Source organism: Homo sapiens, chromosome 1 (assembly GCF_000001405.40).
Source record: "Homo sapiens chromosome 1, GRCh38.p14 Primary Assembly".
NCBI classification, from domain to species: Eukaryota; Metazoa; Chordata; class Mammalia; order Primates; family Hominidae; genus Homo; species Homo sapiens.
The window spans coordinates 216,047,129-216,068,869 of record NC_000001.11 but is presented as its reverse complement, the minus strand read 5'-3'; the positions used below and the strand labels follow the sequence as shown (position 1 = coordinate 216,068,869).

Here is a 21,741-nt window from a genome sequence, read left to right as displayed (position 1 = left end):
AATTGCATTTTTCTGCCTGATGGAGTTGTTATTAGGGGTTGGATGAATGAATGCATGCTAAAACACATAAAACCATTTTGATATACAGGAGGTGTGTGCTATGCTATAATTTTATTTTCATTATTATTTTTAATTTTCACGCTTTTTTTCCTTTCTGTTTTACAAAGCTTCTCTTATCCTATCAAAAATAGAAATCTTCACAAGTCCTCTGGACCCTGACTCTTTCTGTTTCTTCAGAGATATTACTGATAGCTTATCGTCCTCTCACTTATATTTTTAACGCCTCTGTCTGCTGCAGTAGAGTATGGCCCAAGGACCAGCATTACTAGCTTCACTTGGGAACTTATTACTAATGCACATTCTCCTGCCCTGCCCACCCCACACCCGCCAAATCAGACACTCTGCAGTGTGGCTCAGCAGTCCTTGTTTTAACAAGCCCCCAGATACATCTGATGTATGCCAGCATTTGAGAACCACTGACTGGGTGGATTCTTCCCAGGGTCATTCAAACTCTTTTATCTCCCATTGTTAAAAACCAACACACTAACCCAAACCAATCACAAAAATCTTAATTCTGTCCAAACTCCCAGCTATTGCTCCCTCTCTCCTCCTCTCGGCCTTCGTCTAGCATGAAGTATCTAAGCTCATTTTGTCCTCACTTAACTGGCTTCTGCTCATTACTTTCGTGACGAGCACCAAAAACTGCCATGTTTACATAGGCAAAAAACACTTGACACTCTATGTCTTCACCACTCTTCAGCATTCTCCACAGTAACTCTTTCATCATTTCTAGAAATATTTCTTCACTTCTGTGACTTTTCTGCTTACCTCCTGGTTCTCCAGGGGCCCTGTTCTCAGTGTCCTTTGCTCACTTCTTCTAAAGTGTGACAAAATATTGAAGAGTCTCAGGATTTAGAACTGGGCCGTCTTCTCTTTCTCTTTCATTTTTTTCTGGCTTGCTCCAGAAGCCTTATTGACTCTCATAACATCAAATACCAGATAGATGCTGCTATTGACTCCTAATTGTACATCCCACCTAGACATCCAAATGCCTGCATCCAATAGGCGTTTGGACACAATGACATTTCCAACTGGATGTCTCTCACCTTCTACCCATACCAAACCTCAACTCTTGCTTCTCCTGCATTCTCATAGATACCTCCAGCCACCCAGTCAATACAATTTGAGAGTTACTCTGGACTTTTCACCTCCTTCACACCTCATATCCACAGTTGTCATTCTATTTTTCAAAATATGTGTTAAGGTCATCCATTTCTCCTCTAATCTACTGGCCAGCCCAAACTACTACCATCTTTTTCCTGGACAACTGCAATACTTACCTTCATCTTTTTCATAGCCTTTTTTTTTTTTTTCTCTCCCTGGCCGTGAGTGTATTCTACAGAGCATCCAACATCATGTCCCTCTCCTCAAAAACTTTCTTTCTTTTTTTTTTAATTATACTTTAAGTTCTGGGATACATGTGCAGAATGTGCAGGCTTGTTACATAGGTATACATGTGCCAGGGTGGCTTGCTGCCCCCATCAACCCGGCATCTACATTAGGTATTTCTCCTAATGCTATCTCTCCCCTACACACACCCTCCACCGCTCGACAGGCCCCGATATGTGATGTTCCCCTCCCTATGTCCATGTGTTCTCATTGTTCAATTCCCACTTATGAGTGAGAACTCGCAGTGTTTGGTTTTCTGTTCCTGTGTTAGTTTGCTGAGAATGATGGCTTCTAGCTTCATCCATGTTCCTGCACTTCCTCTCTCACAATCACACTTTGTCTGGGTCTCCCCCTACTTCCAGGGTTTCCAACAATTACCGTTGTAATTAATATAATTTAAAGAAATTTGTATGTAAATCCTTAGGAGAATTCCTGACAATGATGATATAATAAATCCCTAGCAGTGGAATAACTGCATCGAAGGCTTTTAAGACATTGTATAGTCTTGAACTTTGAAGTCAGACATTGATATAAATCTCTGCTATATACCTTCCCTGTGGATAAGTTCCACATCCTTCTGGATCCTAAAGTCCTAACCTATGAAATGGGAGAGTGATATTTACCTCAGAAGAATATTGAAAATATTAAGTGATATGATATTCTAGCTCTAACCCTTTTTAGCTGTGTAGCTTGGACAAATCAATAAACCTCTGTTTGCTTTAAAATCCTTCTAGGTAAATAAGAATGAGATACAACTACATGCCTCCCAGGGCAGCTGTGGGGATTAAACGAATTCATATGTATGTAAAGCACATAGCACAGTGCTTGACATGTGGCATGCACTGTATCAAAGTTACCTACAGGATATCTGTAAAGTGTGTAACATTATGCTTAATGCTTGGTAATTTCTCAAGAAATGGATAGCAATTATTATTATTATTATTACTATTATTATTTAATGAAGTCTCACTCTGTCGCCCAGGCTGTAGTGCAGTGGCGCAATCTCTGCTCACTGCAAGCTCCGCCTCCCAGGTTTACGCCATTCTCTTGCCTCAGCCTCCCCAGTAGCTGGGACTACAGACCTCCACGCCCGGGTAATTTTTTTTGTATTTTTAGTGGAGACAGGGTTTCACCATGTTAGCCAGGATGGTCTCGATTTCCTGACCTCGTGATTCACCCACCTTGGCCTCCCAAAGTGCTGGGATTACAGGCGTGAGCCACAGTGCCCGGCCAGGATAGCAATTTTTACACTGCCCAAAAAGCTGTACAAATTATGCTTCCACCAGCAAGCAGAATGCAAGATTGTGCATTTCATTTTATCTAGCCAACACCAAGGTTTACACTTGAAAAAAATTGCAAATTTAAAAGGCAAAATATATCAGAATATTGTTTTAGTTTGTATTTATGTGATTACTAGAGAGATTAGTTTTTTAATATTTATTGACCATTTCTACTTCTTTTATGATGTGCCTAGGTAGGTCCATTGTTTTTTATTTTTTATTTTATTTTATTTTTTTATTTTTTGAGACAGGGTCTCACTCTGTCACCCAGGTTGGAGTGCAGTGGTGCAATCTCAGCTCACTGCAAACTCTGCCTCCTGAGTTCAAGAGATTTTCCTGCCTTGGCCTCCCAAGTAGCTGGGATTTCAGGTGTGCATCACCACGCCAGGGTAACTTTTGTATTTTTAGTAGAGATGGAGTTTCACCATGTTGGCCAGGCTGGTCTCGAACTCCTGACCTCAGGTGATCCACCAGCCTTGGCCTCCCAAAGTTCTGGGATTACAGGCATGAGCCACTGCACCCAGCTGCATTGCTAATTTTTCTATTGAATGATTCACATTTTCTCATTAAAGTTTTTCTCTGCATATGAAGAATAATATACATGTTTATCTCATCTAATGCAACTCCCCCAGTTTTGTCATTTTTTAAAAAATTTTGATTTGCATTTTTGTGTAGAGATTTAAAAAATATTTTATGTAGTTAATATAACACCCTTAAAATGTTCAATATTCTATGTGTGATTTTTTAAAAATATATATTCCCCATTTAGGGTTGATTATTGTTTATGTTAGATATACCATATTGATAACATATAATGCATATTCCTCAAAATAGTAATTCTAAGGTTAGGATAAGAACAAATCAGAAACTGGATGCAGGGAGGCTTTTCAAATTAAATCAGCCTCTCCCAAGATTCTGAAGGATACCTTCTTGAAGGCGAGATCCCACAGATTGTAAACCAATGTAGGGCAGTACTGGATGTTACTCAAAAGGCATGTCATACATGGTAGTGATGTATAGGGAGAAGAAAATCAGAAAACTGTTGAGCAATTGTTATTTATTTTTATATATCAAATTTGTCACAAACTAAGGGAAGAGTTAACTATGTTAACTATGCATGCAGTTTTGTCAATTTCTCTGAGATTTTTTTGTTTGAATTTTTTGAGTTTTTATTACTTTTACACTTATTATTTATGTTTTAACCTTCAAAGTCTCATTGCTTTAGGTACAGTCATGCATTGCTAAAGGATGGATATGTTCTGAGAAATGTGTCATTAGGAGATTTCATCACCTTGCAATGTGCTTACATAAACCTAGATGACATAGCCTACTCCACACCTAGGCTAGATGGTGTAGCCTATTGTTCCTGGGCTGCAAACCTGCACAGCATGTTACTCTATTGAATAGTGTAGGGAACTATAACTCAATGGTAAGTATTTGTGTATCTAAACAGATCAAAACACAGAAAAGGTATAGTAAAAACACTGCATGGTAATCTTATGGGACCACCATCCTATATGTTGTCTGTTGTTGACCAAAACATTATGTAGCACATGACCACATGGCAGCAACTTGGCTAACATCCTTTAATTCAACATTGTTTTCTTATAAGTTTGATGAGAAAATTAAAAAAAAAAAAACAATCCCTAGCAAGGGCCACTCTCTGCATGGAATTTTCACATTTTCCCCATGTTTTTGTGGGTTTTCTCTGGGTACTCCAGTTTCCTCTCACATCCCAAAGGTTTTCCCCTTACATGAATTGAGTTGTCTACGTGACCCCAGAGTGAGTGAGTGCAGGTGTGTATGAGTATGCCCTGTGATGGTATGGTGGCCTGTCCAGGGCTGATTCCTACCTTGAGCCCTGAGCTGCCAGGATGGGCTCCAGCCACCCACAACCCTAAAGTGGAATAAGCAGATTGGAAAATAAATGAATGAGTAAATAGAAATCATTATAAAATAAAAATTCATAAAGTCTATGATAATCATACAGATGCACAGCAATAAACAATTCAGTATGACAGGGCTCAGCAAGCTGCCCAGTCTGTGATTGCTGGGGTTTGAACTTCATGCTGGTAGGCGGTGCTCCTTACAATGTTCACTTGGAAAGCATTTATTCCTTGATTTATATACCACACCACTGTCACTCACTGATTCACCAAAACTTGAGTAAATCATTATTTCGTTTTGATTAATCTTTTGTAAATGCATGTATAGCACACATTCATTTCAATGTTTAATATTAGTAGTCTATAGAAATTTGGTGATGTTTTGTGACCAGAAATATGCCATAGGATCTTAATTCTTTTTTACATCAATTAGCCTGTGGGAAAATTGGGTTTGTTGTATATCATTTCACTTAAAAGTGATAGTTTACAAAAAATTCCAATGACATTAAGTGAAGACTTCTATATATCTCTGCAGTTTTAGTTTTATCTTTCACTTGAGATTCTCTGTATTTAAGTACGGGAGTCACTCATTCATACTTGTTTTTATAATTGATATAATTGGTCTTCTCTCTGCCATCATGTTTTATGCTTTCCAGTTTTATTATTTCTTGTTTTTTAGTGATTTTTTCACTACATTTCTTGCCAATGTGTACTATGAATTCTTTGATTTTTTTTCTTTCAAGGAGTTTGCTTCTCTCAATGCTAAATTGAGTCATCAAGGACATAGGTAGAAGGTAATCTTAAAGACTAAGAAGAACTCCAGTATTGCCAGGTGGACTTTTCATTGTGAAGACTCAGGATAATGAGGAGGGAATGTGAATTGAGAGTCACCAAAGCCAGCTTGGATAATTATCAAAGTCAGAGAATTTCCCAGTAAACAAAAGGAATACTAGGAAGTGAGATGGAAGGAGCTGATAAAGCAGAGAGCCAGAAAGCTGGATTTGGTGGAGACGTTAGGGGTGCAGAGATTGTTTTGAGGCAGCTGTTTTGCCAGTTGGTTGAGAAACCAAGGTACCAAAAGAGAGAAAAATCGGTGAAGCCTATATAAACAGTTTTGCTATTGAGCAGTTTTGCTACTGATCTTGAAAATAACCCTTATTTAGCATTTCTGAGGTGACTTTTGTTGAGATTTTAATATTTAAGTTAATTTTGGTTGTTAGAGTCATATTTAAATAAAATAATTCTGACACTGAATGTACAAGGCAATTTCGCTTTATTAGTTAGCGTAGGGTTCTTTACCAATTAAGTTTAAAAAATGCTAATCAGAAAATGTGCTGTTTTATTTCATTAATTTTTTGTTGTATAATAAGCTCTTTTATTCTTCAGATTTGGGTCTTTCTTCAGCTTGGAAAATTTGCCATTGTGTTTATGATCATTACTTCTGGTGAGAAATAGCAATTTTCAATATTGTATATTTCTTCCTAGGTTGTCTTCCTCATTTTAGTAGTTCAGAACACGGCTTGTAGAGTCAAATCAATCTAAGGTCAAATTCCGCCTATGCCACTTTTTAGCTGTGTGATCTCAGACAAATTTAAAAACATATCCTTACATTGGAGTTTCCTCATTCATAAATTGGGGATGAAAACCTTATTTATATTATGGAACTGCTATAAAGATTAAAATGAGTTATGTAAAATATTTTGCTCAGAAACAGGCACATAGTGAGTGTTCAATGAATTCATAGTTACCTTTATAATCTCTGAATTACAGTTTCTGATTTCTGGGTTATTGTCCCATAATTGTTTTTATTTCCATTTTCTGATTTTTGCACTGTTGATTCTGCTCTTTGAAACTTCTAAGATGATTTTTAATTCTTCTAGTTCAGTCTTTGATATGATCTGCCTTTTTCCTCATCTAGCTTGCTTTGATTTCTGCCTGCCTCTTGAAATTCTCAATTTTTGTCTTCATCTCTTGTTTACTGCTTACCTTCTGTCTCTTACTTAGTGGATTCCAAGTTATTTTAGATCTAATTAATGGCATGCAACTCGTGATTTTTAAATTTTACAAGTTTCTTGAATTAAATCCTCCCCAGAATATGACAATCTTCCATAATTTGAGGGCTATATCCTTATCCTTCTTTCAAGTTACAATTTTTCCATCAGCTAAATGTCCTCCCCCAAACTCAACTCCATAGTTTAGTTGGCTCATCTCTAATATAACCTTCTGACTGGGTGTTTGCATGGGAAAATTAAACTGTTTTCAAATCATCTTACTGGGCATCCAGTTGCTGTTAATAAAAGCCTTTGCTAAGATGATGACAGGGTTAGTGGGGTAAGTTTGCATTAGCCGCGCAGCCACCCTACAGTTTCAGCTTCTTTCTTCCCAGTGTTTGGTAGAGTAGGAGTGCTGAGAGCTTGCTGGCATTTTGCTTCCAGTTTAAGTTTGGGTTTGCCTAGGACTTTCCTTCTAACAGTCCATTGTCTCTGCCTGGTCTCGTTTTAGGTATTTATAAAACTTTGGTCGTTTCACTGGGATTCTTACAAGGTGGTAGTTCAAAACTATAGCTGTATACTGAGTCAACTGGGGAGCTTTAAAAAATATACTGATGGCTGTGTGCCCCACATGCAAAATGTCTGATTAAATTGGCCTGGAATGTGGCCTGGACATTTGTACTTTTAAATTATCTCAGGTAATTCTGCTGTACAGCCAGCACAGGGAAACTCTATTTAAAGGAGGAGTTTGTCACCAGTGATCACATTTAAATTTTATCCAGATATTCTTATAACTTTCATTTCCCCACTGAAACTCAAAAATGTTAGGAAATAAAAAACTAAATGTATATAAAAAATAATAAGCTATTAAAAGTAAATAGAAAATACTAGCAAAGGAATATCATAAGATGACAAAAATTAAGTGTAATAGTTATTGGGAAGTGGGATTTTATGTTCAGACTTACAAAAAGCAGAAGGTAAAAGCAAAGAAAATTATTAAAAATGAATATCAACTAAGATAACTGAAGAAAACAGAATAGTGAAGCAGAATATTTACCATTCATGAATTTGTCTATCAGAGGATTAAATGAGATAAATCCCAGTTGCAATGGAGAGTCCAAGGGTTAACAGGCCCGCTCAGGAGCAAATGGGCCCCTTTGGGCCACAGGGTCTAGATTCTGTGCCCTCCCAAGGCCAAGGTTCAGAGCAAGGAGTTCTTTAAGGTTCATTCCCTCAGCCAGAGCCTCAGGGTAGAAAACCCTTCAGTTATCACTCCTGTGTATCTTTAGATTTGTTGAAAGGGCTCCAATTAACTCTGGGTAGCTTTTGCTGATTTTTCCTGCAGCCCTGTTAACATGCAAAGCTGCAGCCCAGAGAGACAGGACTGGCGTTTCCCCTCAAACTGAGGACTGCTCAGAAACTGACTTCATAATTTGATTTGAAATTATTTCAAGAATGAATGGATTCAAGACTTCGCACATATACGAATTATTTTTTCCGTAAGGTGTTTAAACATGTAAACTTAATTATCAGCATAATTACTACAGCACCTGGCATCAAGTGTTACAGATATAATTGGTGTATACAAAATATTTTCTCAATTTTATTGTTGCATTACATTGAGCTAAAGTCTAGGGGTTATATTGCTTCTTCAGGTAAAATGATAAATAATAGTAATATTTCTTACTATTTGCTATAGTTTGGCAAATGAATCAATAATGATAAGAATAATCTTCCAGATGACTCACATATATCTACATTTATGTAAAGAAAAAGACATTTTAATTTATAACACAAATAATAATATAGCTTTTGCCACTAAAATTGTTTCAGTCTTTACATACAATGGACTTAATTTTTTTACCTGAATGAAGTGGGTTTCATACTGAAAATCTGCCTCTAATTTTTGCCTCTTTTACATGGCTACTGTAATAATTAGTGACTCTCAATTCTACTGGTCATAAGGTGATTCTCAGATTACTTATAAAATGCAGATTTGGGGGTCACTCACACATGATTCTGTACATCTGGGCTAGTATTTAGCAATTTGCATTTTACCTAATGCTCCAATTGTATTTTTGGAAGGTTTATGAACCACATATTGAAAGACACTAGTGTAGAGGAGTGGTCAGCTTAGACTGGAATACTTTCACCTGCTAGGCTTGCAACTATCCCTGCTTTATTCCTGCTTCTGGTTCTGACTGTGTTAGCTTTGCTGCCAGAAAAATGCCAAGGCAAGTGAAGAAAGAGAGGCAGTGTCAGTAGGACCCCTGAACCCCAGTAGGACTCCTGAACTTCTGAAAATTCCCAGAAGAAAGAAAGTAAGAATTGGGGATCTTGATAACATGGATTCTGATTCACTAGGTCTGGGAATATGGTGTTAGATTCTGCATTTCCAACCAGCCCCCTCCCACTCTGTCATGCCCCATATAGAAAGGCAAGGAGCTCACTATTTATATGGGAAATGGAAAACAACAACAACAACAACAAAGAAAAAACAGTAAAATAAAACAAAACCCAATTCTCAATTACAAGATGCCCCTTAGGTTCATATAAAAGTGAGAGCAGTATAATTCAATGTAGGAATTATCATTGCAATGTCTTGGTAGAGCCTTGCCTGCATGCATTTAAGTTACAAACATTCAACTACATATTTTGGAAATGGGTAAGGGATGGAGGAAAAAGTAAAAAAGCAAAAATTAAACAAAACAAAAACCTATAAAAATAGTGTCATAGGCAAAGGATGCTATCCAGTATGGAAAATGTCAACATCTGTTAGCTGGAAAGAATGTTTGAATAATTTTAGGGTTTCCCAGTCATTGACAAAGAAGTGATACTCATTGTTTGGGTGTCTACAAAAAGAATGAAGACTTCAGAGCCCTGAAGAATCATTGATTTCTGAAGAGTTAGAGGCATACACAAAACCAAATGTACTATACTTTATGGGCCATATAAAGAGTTGTCAAGGGAACTTTAAATCACGTTATTTTTGCCTTATGCCTGATTTTGGAACTTAAACTCAGCTATGCAGAGTATCATCAGTAAGATTAAATTAAATTAAAATGCTACTCTATATATGTATGTATATGTGTATGTTATGTACGTTCATATATTATATAAATATGCTCTCTCTCTATATATGTATTCTCTCTATATATATGTAACCATACTTACCTGAGAAGTCTGCAGAGAAATGACTGTAATTCAACGCCGTGAAATTTTTTTTTCTATTCAACTGAAAGTTCTTACTCCATAGTTGCTAAAACTGCCTATGGTACTCTCTGTGCACCCATGCTATTTCTTCAATAGACAATAAGCTCCTGGAGGACAAGTTTCATGTTTCATATTTATTTTAAGCCTCGTTCACTACCTTGCTCAAGGTAAGTGATTAATATACTTATCTTAAAAGAATGAATGAAGGAATCTTTCAATTAGCAAATGTAGCTTTCTGCTACTAACCCCATAGTTAACCTAATGTTAATATTTTTTTGTGCTGAGTTGGACTGAGTATTGAACTACTAGTCCTTACTAAAGTCTCCTCAGTCTTTTATCAACAGTTCTTTAATTTTATAGAAGAATGCACAGAGCTATCACAACTTAAATGTATATTTGGAACTTAATACACATTTCCCAATAGAAAAAAAATATGTTGGTAGGGTAAGACTAATAAATAACTAATAAAGACTAATTCCAAAACTTAGACCTCAGAATAGAACCCAACCACTACATATTTGAAATGAAAAATAATGGAAGCCAATACTGCTGCAATGCTGATAATTATAAAGAACAGAAAATATTCATTTATTTAAAAAAGTGATCTACCACGTTCCATGCTAGTGCTAGGCCCTATCATTGTAACATGATTTTTATAACACTAAAATATAGCCCAAGCACTCTCTCTGAAGTATAAGATTATGTAGACAATGAAAGTTTTATAGGGAAAACCTAACAGAGATGGGTTTATCATTTTTAATTCATTATTTCACTTGAGATACTGAGAACCTAAAATAATAGCGATGAAGTTTTTCTCTCACTGGTAATAGGTGTCCACAGTAAGTCAATGCAGAGGCGGGATGTTCATAGGCGAGACCCACACACTTCATCTTTTTGCTGTGTCATCCTTATGGACAAGGCTTCTACCTCATAGTTCAAGATGACTGCTTGAGCTCCTGCCATCCAGTCTGATTTTCACCCAACAGGAAGAAATAATGGTTAAAGAATACTCACATTCACTTTAAAGACATATTTTAGAAGTTGTTCCTCCACCTCTGGTTATCTTGCGTGGCCAGAACTTAGTCACATGGCTGTACCTAGCTTCAGGGAATGTTGAAAAATGCTGTCTTTATTCCAAGTAGCCACTTGCCCAGGTAAAAAGTGTTTTTATTTTACTGAGGAAAAGGAGTATAATACATAATAAGGAGCAATTAGTAATCTTTGCCACAATAGGAAATCGTCAGAAGTAAATAAAAAGTAATTCTTTTTGTTGGTGTTATTAAAGATAAAAGCCAGTTTTTATAGTAGACCATAAATTAATATTCCAATATTTGTAGTTTATTACGAACTTTTTTTTTTAATTTGAGATGGAATCTTGCTCTGTTGCCGAGGCTGGAGTGCATTGGCACCATCTCAGCTCACTGCAACCTGCGCCGCCCGGGTTCAAGCAATTCTCCTGTCTCAGCTTCCCAAGTAGCTGGGACTACAGGTGCATGCCAACACATCTGTTTTTTGTTTTTTGTTTTTTTTGTTTTTGTTTTTGTTGTTGGTATTTTTAGTAGAGATGGGATTTCACTATATTGGTCAGGCTGATCTCAAACTCCTGACCTCAGGTGATCCACCTGCTTCAGCCTCCCAAAGTGCTGGCATTACAGGCTACAAAATATTTCTTTAAATGTAAATCTTGAAAGAAACTGGTCTGAAAAAATTCACAGGACGAAAATATGGCCTATGACATAAATAGTAAAAATAGAAATGATGTAATGTTCCTGCTTAGCTAATGTAGAAAGATTTCATTAGGTAATGCAGTGTTGATGAGTTAATAGCTTTGTCTAACTCTCCTGAATACATAATGTGCCTGAACTACTGGTACATTGTGAAATCTTCAGAGAGAGTTGTTTTTTAAAAAAAAAAGTTTTTCATTTTATTTTATGCAATAAGAATTGACACCAAAGGATTTGCATTTCTTTTTGGTAACATGTTGAGCCGTAGTTAAAAATGATGAAAATATATAACTTTTGTTCTACAGTGATAATCAACTAGGCATGTCCACAATGCTTATAAACATTCAATACAAATACTTCAAGGTTATCAATCATAGTTGATAAAGAAGAAGAATGCACAGCCAGACTTTTCTGTTTTCTACCTTTTATGATCATTTTATATTTGTGTTATATTTGGAACAAATTAAAAGGGTTATATGTATAATAAACAAAGGTCCAATATTGAACCCAATCTCTCTCTCTCACACACACACACACACACACAAATGCACACATAGAATTTCTTATAAATCAGTCATTTTTGTAAAGGAATATTACAGGCATACAAACTTGCTCATTTTGGAGGACAAGACTTCTAATTTCTGTTTGTAAGCAATAGGTGTCAGTAATAAATTTGAACCTCTTAACACATTTTAAGGTGCATTTTAAATAAGATATTTTATAGTAAAAAGTGTGCTATTATTGTTTTTAATTACCATTTTTCAACACTTTTTTCTTGTTTGTGGAACTGGAGCTTAGGTCAAATGGGAGGAGTAATGATCTTGGGGTCAGAATACAGGTTCTAATATTGGCTCTACTGCTTTTTAGCTGTCTGGACTTGAGCACCATACAGTACACTCACTCCAAAAGCAGCCTCCTCTGTACAATGGAATAACAATATCAGAGGCTTGTAGCAGGGGACCTTGGACACTGATCATAAGGGATGACTTTCATTTCTCTTTCTTTTCTTTTCCTCTTGTCTCCTTGCCTGTCTCTCTGCTTAGTCAGGTCCAGTGTTTTCTTGAAGAGTTTCAGTAATTTCAGTGTGAGACCTTTATGTAAGGTAAAGAGTTAACACAAGCACGTGGCTTCAAACTTATTGGCAAATTAGAATAAAAATGGCAAAGACTCTGTAGTTCTTACCACAAAGGCATTGATTAAAAATTTGAGGTTAGAGGTAAACCTGCTGAGAGAATCTTAACTGGATAATACTTTGAGGTCAATTAAAATCACTGTTTAAACCGTCCTCTAAGACTGGGATTAGACCACATATTTTATAAAGAAATAAAGAATAATGTTTTTCCTGTTTGTAAGAATCAACATCTGCATAGTCTTTGATAGGTATATGATATTCTATGCTCTCTACCAAAAGTTTTAAACAAGGTCAAAAAACCCATTTGAAGGAAATTAAATGTAAGAAAAATTAGTTTTGAAGTTTCCAAGGGATTACCTTAGGTTTGGGTTAAGTGTATTTATTGTTCCACCTTTTGGGTAAAATGCAAATTGACTTTCCCTTTGTAAATATTAGAAGTCCTTATTTTTATTGAAAATATTATCCAAAAACAACAATAACAAATCCCACCCTCCTGGGCTAAGAACCAGAGGAGAAGCATCCTGGATATGTTTCCAGATCTCTATTAGATAGTTAAGTTTTCATCCATATTTAACAAATGTCATTATTCAGTTTCATGGGATCACTGTGTCAAAATGTCTGTGTTAGAACTTTATTTTCAGAGGTTCCTTTAAGTGGTCAGGAAGCATGGCATATTGGATTGATTACTCTCTTTAATCCATCCACTGGGTTGGTTTGGGATGTATACTTAAAAATTAGATTTTATCAGCACTGCAGCGGGATCCTCAGCCAGAAGTCTCTTCTTCTGCCCTCCTTCCCCTAGCCAGTTTTCTTTTAAAAAGTGGGCTCTTCCATTATGTCTCCAGGTAGCAGTAGCAGCTCTGCCTGTGTGGCATCCCTTACCAGATGGCCCTCTTAATAAATGTCTTGCTCTTGCCCACCCTCACTTTCTTGATCCAAATGTGAAATGCCAGCAAATAAATAAGAGCATTGTACTCTGATGAGTTCTCTTGAGATGGGGGAAAACCCTGGGGAGAGGAAGCTAGAAACAGCTTTTCTGTTTGCTGTGACTGCTCCTAATTACTGGCCAGTAGTAGAAGATATCATTTAGATGCAGTAGAATATAAAGATAAAGAAAAAAAAATGAGAGATAAATTCTCCATGTTATCCCAAATGCCTTTGCTAACGTGGAAATACTCTTGGATTGTTGGAGTGCATTTGAAATATTGTGCATGATCCTTACAAGGGGACCCCTGACTTTGGACTCAGGGTAGACAGTTGCTGCATGCAGATTTCACCGCCAGACTAAAAGTGCAACGGAAATGAGTGGGTGATGAGAGCAGAGCAGCCAGTTCTTTAATTGAATTAAAAGCTGGGTGACATCAATGCAGACACCTGTCCAATTACAGACAGGCCAAGGTGTTTACCATTGCTGTACAAGCGATTCGAAGATGACAGAAATCTTTCCGCCCACAGATTAACATAATGAAGGAGAACAGATTACAGTGGATGCCGGCCAAACACCTTGGTTGGCAGCTGGGGGTGGGGTGGGGGAGGGAGGAGGAGTCTGCTGAAGTATGTAAGTAGAAACGGAGTCCTTTTTTCTTCTCTGAAATATGCTCGGCTTTAAAAAGGATCCATTTTGCTTTGTGTCTTAGGCTCGGTTTCCAGGCAGAGCATTTATACTTGTCTGCATTTAGTCAGAGGAGTTAATCATAAAATTTCAACGTGAAAGCAGACTCCTCTGTTGTTTTGCTGCTTCTCAGCATACGGTGTCCCATTAGAGGTGCAAAAGCTTGCAGAGCTGGTGTCAGCTCCACAATGATTTTGTCTTAGGTCGTCAGGCTGCCTCCAATTATTAATATTTTTCTTTGGCTCCTTTGAAACTTGAGGTTACAGCAAAGGAAAGAGAGTGTTGGAGATAATAATGTATCAGTCAAAAGAAACAATGTCTGTCACTTTGCTTGTTCCCTGGAAGGGGCGTGGTGGGAGTCAGGCTCTCCTATAGTGAGAGAAATAGCCGAGTGGAGCTAACAGTCTGCAAAATCTTAATTTTCAGTCACCCGTCAAGTGCTAACTTTTGGTAAACCATACTAATAGCTGCTGGGATAGAGGATAAGGAAAGCAGTAAAAGGCTATGCCCTCTGTGTTCAAGGAATTCCCAAATCACTGTGAAGGACTTCTAAGTTGCAAGTTCTCTAGGCCAATGCTCTTCCCCTCTGTTAAGTGGAAACCCTGAGTGCACAGAGTTTGGAGCCATATGCAGTAGGCCTCTTAACCTATCTACGGTGATGAGTTTCCTTCCCTTAAATCAAGTCCCTGCCCCCTGATCTTTCAGCTTGGGCTTTCTGCACCCACTGTGGCCCACAGGACTTCAATTCAAAGGGAATCTACTTACTTGACTTCAAACTCCCTTGGTGTGGCATGTCAGGATTTCTCAATGTTAGGCATTAATGCAAAATGCATTATCGCTTAGCAGTGAGAGTTATGGTCCTGCTGGTGCCAATGATTTTAATCCGGATACCCACGCTCCTGTGTTTCATGGGATACTAACACTTTTAAGACATCAATAATGCTTACTTTATGCTTATTGAATGTTTCTTCAGCTTGCCCTCTTCCATTACCTAGAGGGACTAGCAGGTTTCCTGACATGATTGGGACCATTTTCTGATTTCACAGAGTTTGTGGCTGAAAGGCAGTTTGCGAGGTCATCTGGCCTGCCTTGTAATAGGGACACTCTCAAAAAAAAAAAAAAAAAAAAGACTTCTCTGGGATGTGTCCCAAACAAAGAGATTCACAACCAAACCAATTTTAAAGTTCTCCCTTTCAGGATATACTTCTTCAGTATAAAAACCCCAAGTGTCACAAGTATCATAAAAGGCAACTACCGCATTTTCTATTTTTGGGCTTTCTGTCTAGGATTCCTTTAGATATGTCAATTCTCTATTTCCCAGTATTCTTTTTAATATAATACCAAAATATATATTTAAATTAAATTTAGGCTTCCTATTATCTTGAACTGGTAAGTCTGAATCTTATAAATGTCATTGTCTACTTGGCCCGTATGCAAACATTCTTCTTTATGTATCAATCTGTTACTGTAAGAATTCTTCTAGTTCCAATATTTTCTTATGTTAGAAACCTTGTAAAAATCAGTTGTATTCTATAGCACCTTTTCCAGACGCATATAGCGGAAACATTGATAAATGCTTTTTGATGATGATATATCTTCAGAGTAACACTGTATTTTCCAGAGAGTACCTAATCTAAGTAGAACCCTGACACTTAAAGCAAAGCCATTAGGATAACCACTCAATGATCTCAAAGGATATATCCACAATCTACATAGTCTTGGAGAGAATGTGTTACTCTCTTTCTTTGGCCATGGCACAACTTTTCAACTTGAATCCATCCTGGTGAACACTACTTACTGAGAATCAAAGGAGATAAACCACGTGTCTCCAACAATAAAATGACCTTGTCTTGATTCCAAGTGAATGAAGACCACATATTTGACCAGCCCCTTGCCCTTGCATAACCCTTAATTTTTAACCTGACAGGAGGAGAAAGCACAGTGAACCATTATAGTGTTCTTCTTCCTGAAGTAGGTAATTCTAACTGCCTTTAAGGAAAATTATCAGTTGGTTTGACAAACTTTGTCTCTGACACACAGCATGATGAACAAGATTCCCTACTGGAAATAGAAAAGAAATGGCACTCCAGCCTTAGAAAATGCAGCACATTTTTTGAAAGTGTGATTTACAAGCCATCTAAAACCTTCCATCTTTGATCCAAAGTTGGCAAGAACCAAAACATCAGCTTTCTTCTTTTTCTTTCTTTTTTTTTTTTTTTCCTTTGTTTTCTATTTTTCAGCTCTCATTTCTCAGGGCTTATTATTGTTTCACCGGGCTTGAAATGGGAAATGTGAGCACTTTGATAAATGGCTTGAAAGATGATCTAGTTTCTCTCCAGCATCTTTCTTTAAGAGTCTCAGGGTTTTTCTATGAAATACAATACAATTTGGTAAAGATCTCTACCAAATCAAAGCTGAAGAAGCAAGTTTGCTGAGATGAGCAGTGCTTGCTTTTAAGGTCCTTAAAATAAGGAGTGGCTAAAATTAATAAAAGACTCTCACTATACACATGTTATACACAACGTAACTCCTTTAGTGAAGACAAGAAACATTAAATAAAACACTAAAGATCACTTAGTGAGTTGTGAACTCAGGATCTGGTTTGATACAATCCCTCTGAAAGTCTATAGAATACCCTTCCTTATAACTTGATGTAACAATTAAAATTTCAACATTTCACTCTAGTTATGATTTGGAAAGAAATGTCTTAGTATAAGGAATTTTATAAAGCCAGGCTGTAAAATTGTACAATCATAGAGCTGCTTTTATATTTCTCAATGATAATACTTCCTGAATGTACAACACATCTTCATGCTAATGATTGCAGATAACCAACCTGTATATCAGCATTGTTTCTTTTTGGGCATGGTGTTCCTATGCCTCAGCTGAAGCATGCTCATCTATGAAGGGTGCTGCTTTTCACATATGCCCCATAGGTTAAGTGATGATAAAGGGAAACTAGCCTCATATTCCAACATGCTTTTCCTTATTGACATTAGGATTAAAAGTCTTATTCTCTGGGGGCTGATTCATTTCTTGTTAGCATGGCGTTATACTAATTCAGCCATGCAAGTCATCTTATTTAGAATCTTACGGTAGTTTCCAACTTGGCAATAGGAAAGACATGGCAAATGCCAAAGATTTGCTAAAGATAGAATGGCTAAAACACATTTTATGATGATAACTTTAGTTTTGAGCCTGGAATTTGGGTATCGTGGTGGAGGCATTACAAAATGGAAAAATGAAGCTTACATAATTATTTAGAATGTTGATTCTTGGTTGGGGCACGTTGAGTATGAAATACCAGTGGGACATCCAGGTGTGGTTACATGGCCTGCAGATAGAAACCCAGAACCAGGGCTTGGGAGAGATGTGAAGTCTGTAGATACAAATGTGATCACTGAAAGATAAGGCTTAATAAGCTAGCAAAGGCGAGTGTTTAGAAAAAGAAAGAAGCTTGACAACAACCCAATCTTGAGAAACAAAAGCTATTTAAGAGACTGTGAGAGGAACATGAGTCAGTAAAGGAAACAAAGGAGTTCTCGGTAGTTTAGGAGAACAACTAAAAAGTTCAATGTCACAGAAGGAAGTTGAGGGAGGATAAGGACTGAGGAAGGGCTATTTGATTTGGTATTTAAGGGATCACTGCTGATCTTTAAAAGATACAAAGCGTCGGCCGGCCGGGCACAGTGGCTCACGCCTGTAATCCCAGCACTTTGGGAGGCCGAGGCGGGTGGATCACGAGGTCAGGAGATCGAGACCATCCTGGCTAACACGGTGAAACCCCATCTCTACTAAAAATACAAAAAAATTAGCCGGGCGTGGTGGCGGGCGCCTGTAGTCCCAGCTACTGTGGAGGCTGAGGCAGGAGAATGGCTCCAACCCGGGAGGCAGAGCTTGCAGTGAGCCGAGATCGCACCACAGCACTCCAGCCTGGGCAACTGAGCGAGACTCTGTCTCAAAAAAAAAAAAAAAAAAGAAAGAAAGAAAGAAAGAAAGAAAGAAAGAAAGAAAGAAAGAAAAAGATACAAATTGTCTAGTAGCATGTAGAGGCAGAAACTGAGTTGCAATGGTAGCCTAAATTGGAATGGCATAGCTCTGCACTAGAGCTCTTGACTGGCAATACTCCATGTAAGTATTCTAAAGTCCTGAACTTGTTCAGTCTTAATACTAACCCTTTGAGGTAAGTACTATATTATCCCCATCTCACATGTGAGGCCTGCAAGGCCTTTCCTTCAAGACCGAGATTATTATTATCTGTTTACAGACTAGGAAACTAAGGCACAGAAGTCTGAACAACTTGCCCATGTACATATGGCCAATCGGCAGCAGATTTGGCATTTGGAGCCAGCAATCTGGCTTGAGCATGGGTGCCCATTTCCCCACTACTCCATTATGAAGATGTGCATGTGATAATGTTAGCTTGCTTTTAAGCCATTTGGTGGAAGGAGAAATAACTTCTTAAAAGAAAGTAAACTCAGAACGTAGGTCATGATCTGGGAGATTTAACAGGAAATGACAATCGCAGGGGCAGGAATGAGAGAAAGCAGGAGGTTCTGACACGAGAGGGTTTTGAAATTAGAGAGAGCTGAATTTGGCATGAGATGGTCACACATGTGTGTATATTAGTTCGTTGGCTTGCTGTCTTCTTTGGCCATGAGCTAAGATGACGGTGCCAAGTGGATGAATATTTTCATGTAGAAGCATGGCAGACAGGATTCAGTAGCCCACGGAGATGCCTGGGTCGTTGCTGGAATGAAGACTTAGAGACAGCCCTAGGAACTAAGGGCAAGTGGGAGGTGTCAAAGCAAAGAACTGGTCTTTGCTCCATCCTGGCTTGTTGATCTTTTAATTCTTTAAATTTTCTACTGGGGAGGGAAATTATGGAAACATGTATATTAAAATTTGTGTTTGAATGATGAAAGCTGTCATCAAAATTGGCACCTTAAAGCAATAATGTATTCTCTGAGCGATTGAAGGTTTCATCAATAAAGAGACACCACGAGTGGGGCCATCTTTTTATAAAAATAGTCATAATCTATGTGGTTAGGATTAAAGATTGCTCTGAAAAACGTCTTTGCGGAAAAACAGTGGTGAGCAAAAGCACAAGTTATATTTTGGATTTTTTTTAATTCACAGGATTAACTAAATAAGGAGTCTCTGCCTTGCTTATGAACACTAGTAAACAAAATGTGTTTTCATTTCTACACATACTTTTAATTGCTGAACAAATCTCATATATCTACCAGCAAGCCATGTTAATTCAATACTTCCACGTGTAACACTTCCGTTTAAGACAGGTGTCTTAATTAAATAAACTAATAATTTTGCAAGTAGAAGTACAAAAGCATAATTATCTAATTTGCTAATTGTTCAACTATGTTAATTTGCATACTTGTTAGCTACAACATAAACAAATGGTTTGTATATGTATCGCCTACTGTTAAAATAATGAAGCCACTCTTGGGAGTAGCATTTTTAAAGTGTGTTAATAGGTGCCCTATAAAAAGGACTCCTTAGTTAAATACGGTTGAAAAATGCTAGGTTAAAGAAAATTAAATAGTTTTGTTTCTGCAGGAGGTCTAGGATCCTGGAATGAGATAATATATATCTTAGCTATTGGAAACATTGTGCTCTGCCTCACGAACTATATGTGGAACCCCCTCCCCATTTTAATGGGAGAAACATCAGATGCTGTTTGAGAGCTGTTTTAACAATAAGTTGGTCTCACAATTTTTTCTCATGAGTCCTTCCATTCAACAATCAGCAGAAAGGGAGGAAAATGACTGAAAGAGGAATATGTTTTTGATTTCTGTCTCTGGTCTCTTTGTTTTTGTCTCTCTCTCTTATAGACACACACACAGATATACACACAATGCTCTTTATTGATGCTTATGGTAAACACGCAACCCTCTTTTGTCCCTTTTTATTATAGGCATATTGACAGGCTTGCTACCCTTCAAAAACTATGCAGTAACCCTAACTGCTTGCACTTTGGCTGGCTGTACTGAGAGCTCACATGCATTGAACATCTCTACTCCACAAGAAGGTAAAGTAATTTCAAAGGTCTTGACTTCCACATTTCAGTCATGAATAATAAAATAGGAGAAGAGCTAAATGCTACAAGGCCATTTGCTGGCAAACCCCAACCTAATTTGATGACAAAGTGCATTGCCAGGCCATAATTGCTCCATTTTTTGGGGGGGTGCGAAAATGAATCAAACTCCATACCCTTTAATGACATGCATCTTTAATAGCTGTAATGCAGATTAATGGGCTTTTTAATTGCTGTTACATTGTTCATGCAAGAGCCTTGTCATTAATATGAAGCATCTGAAAGATTAATGAAAGCTTCCTCATTTTACTATGGCTCAGAAGTAAATCTAGAGACAGTCTGACTAAAAAGAATTGATTGTATGGCACAGTATGAAATTGAGAATCAAACGGTTGATTTCCATGGTCTTTTTTAACTGCTAAACAGCAGCACAGGCAACAATTATTTCAGTATGATGAAACCTCCAAATGCCAATTGAGGCATTATTAATCACTGCTTAGTTCCTTCCAACTTAAGTCTCACTTCTGTTGTACTTGGAACTTACAAACTGTTGGCATAAATTAAGGTTTCAGAAAGCATATGTTAAGAAGGCAGTGAGAAAGAGAAAATATTTTAGCACGCCAAAGTGAAAGCTTTGCTCAAGCATCAGAATGCATCACTTCAAGAAATAACAGCTCTCAAAACATTTGAAGCATTGTTACTTCATATTTCTCTATTCTGGATAAGAGGAATTGTACATATCTTATACTGTCTAGTTGAAAAGTTCTTTAGGAGATTTAAACGCTTGATCTTTAGGGAAAAAGAGTCAGCCAGTCTTTCTCTCTCTCTCTTTCCCAGTATCTATATATTCCCCCCTTCCTCTTTTAAACCCTTTACCAAGCACCACTTGCACTGAAGATATGTAACAGAAAGGAAGACATGGACCCATAGGATGAAACCAGGACAGGATAAATGACTTTGTAAAATCCTTCTTGTGACCCTTAATATGCTGTATTTTTTACCTAAACCAATCAGACTCCCCTCACCTGAACTATGCTGTCAGTGACCCAGCCTCAGCATTTTCTCCATCTGGTCTACTGGTAATAGCACTGTTTTTGTTGTATCATTGCATCTGCTGAGGACATGATTATCATCCCCTCTTACAAGGACTTTGACCAGCCTCAATATGGGACAAATGGCCCTATGTTGCATTATTTTCTCCGTATCCACTAAATCCTTTGTCCAGGGTTTACCTGGTACCCTTCATACCAATTTCAAGCTAAGCCCCAGAGAGATCCCTGCTCTTGTTTATATTTCCTTTTTTATTTTTAAAGACATTCCCAAACTTCTAAATATCCACGAAGTAATTCTGAATTTACTAAATGATAGAGGAGTTTAGGAAAATTTAAAAAAAATGTTT

At 37.4% G+C, this 21,741-nt stretch overlaps 1 protein-coding gene across 1 annotated transcript in view, besides 1 other annotated feature; it reads left to right on the top strand.

Moving 5' to 3' along the window:
* The window catches only part of USH2A (usherin), an 800,558-nt gene that overhangs the window by 354,579 nt on the left and 424,238 nt on the right, over positions 1-21,741 (top strand). Inside the window, exon 31 of the mRNA NM_206933.4 lies at positions 20,223-20,336. Within this exon, the coding sequence (NP_996816.3) occupies positions 20,223-20,336 (114 nt within the window). The remainder of the gene's footprint in view (positions 1-20,222; positions 20,337-21,741) is intronic.
* Positions 10,145-11,344: an enhancer, noted in NCBI's record as "MED14-independent group 3 enhancer chr1:216230868-216232067 (GRCh37/hg19 assembly coordinates)". NCBI's record gives its function as "activates an origin of replication core promoter dependent on BRD2, BRD4, P300/CBP and CDK7 cofactors, and independent of MED14, by STARR-seq in HCT116 cells {active_cell/tissue: HCT116}" and the evidence as "EXISTENCE:reporter gene assay evidence [ECO:0000049][PMID:35650434]".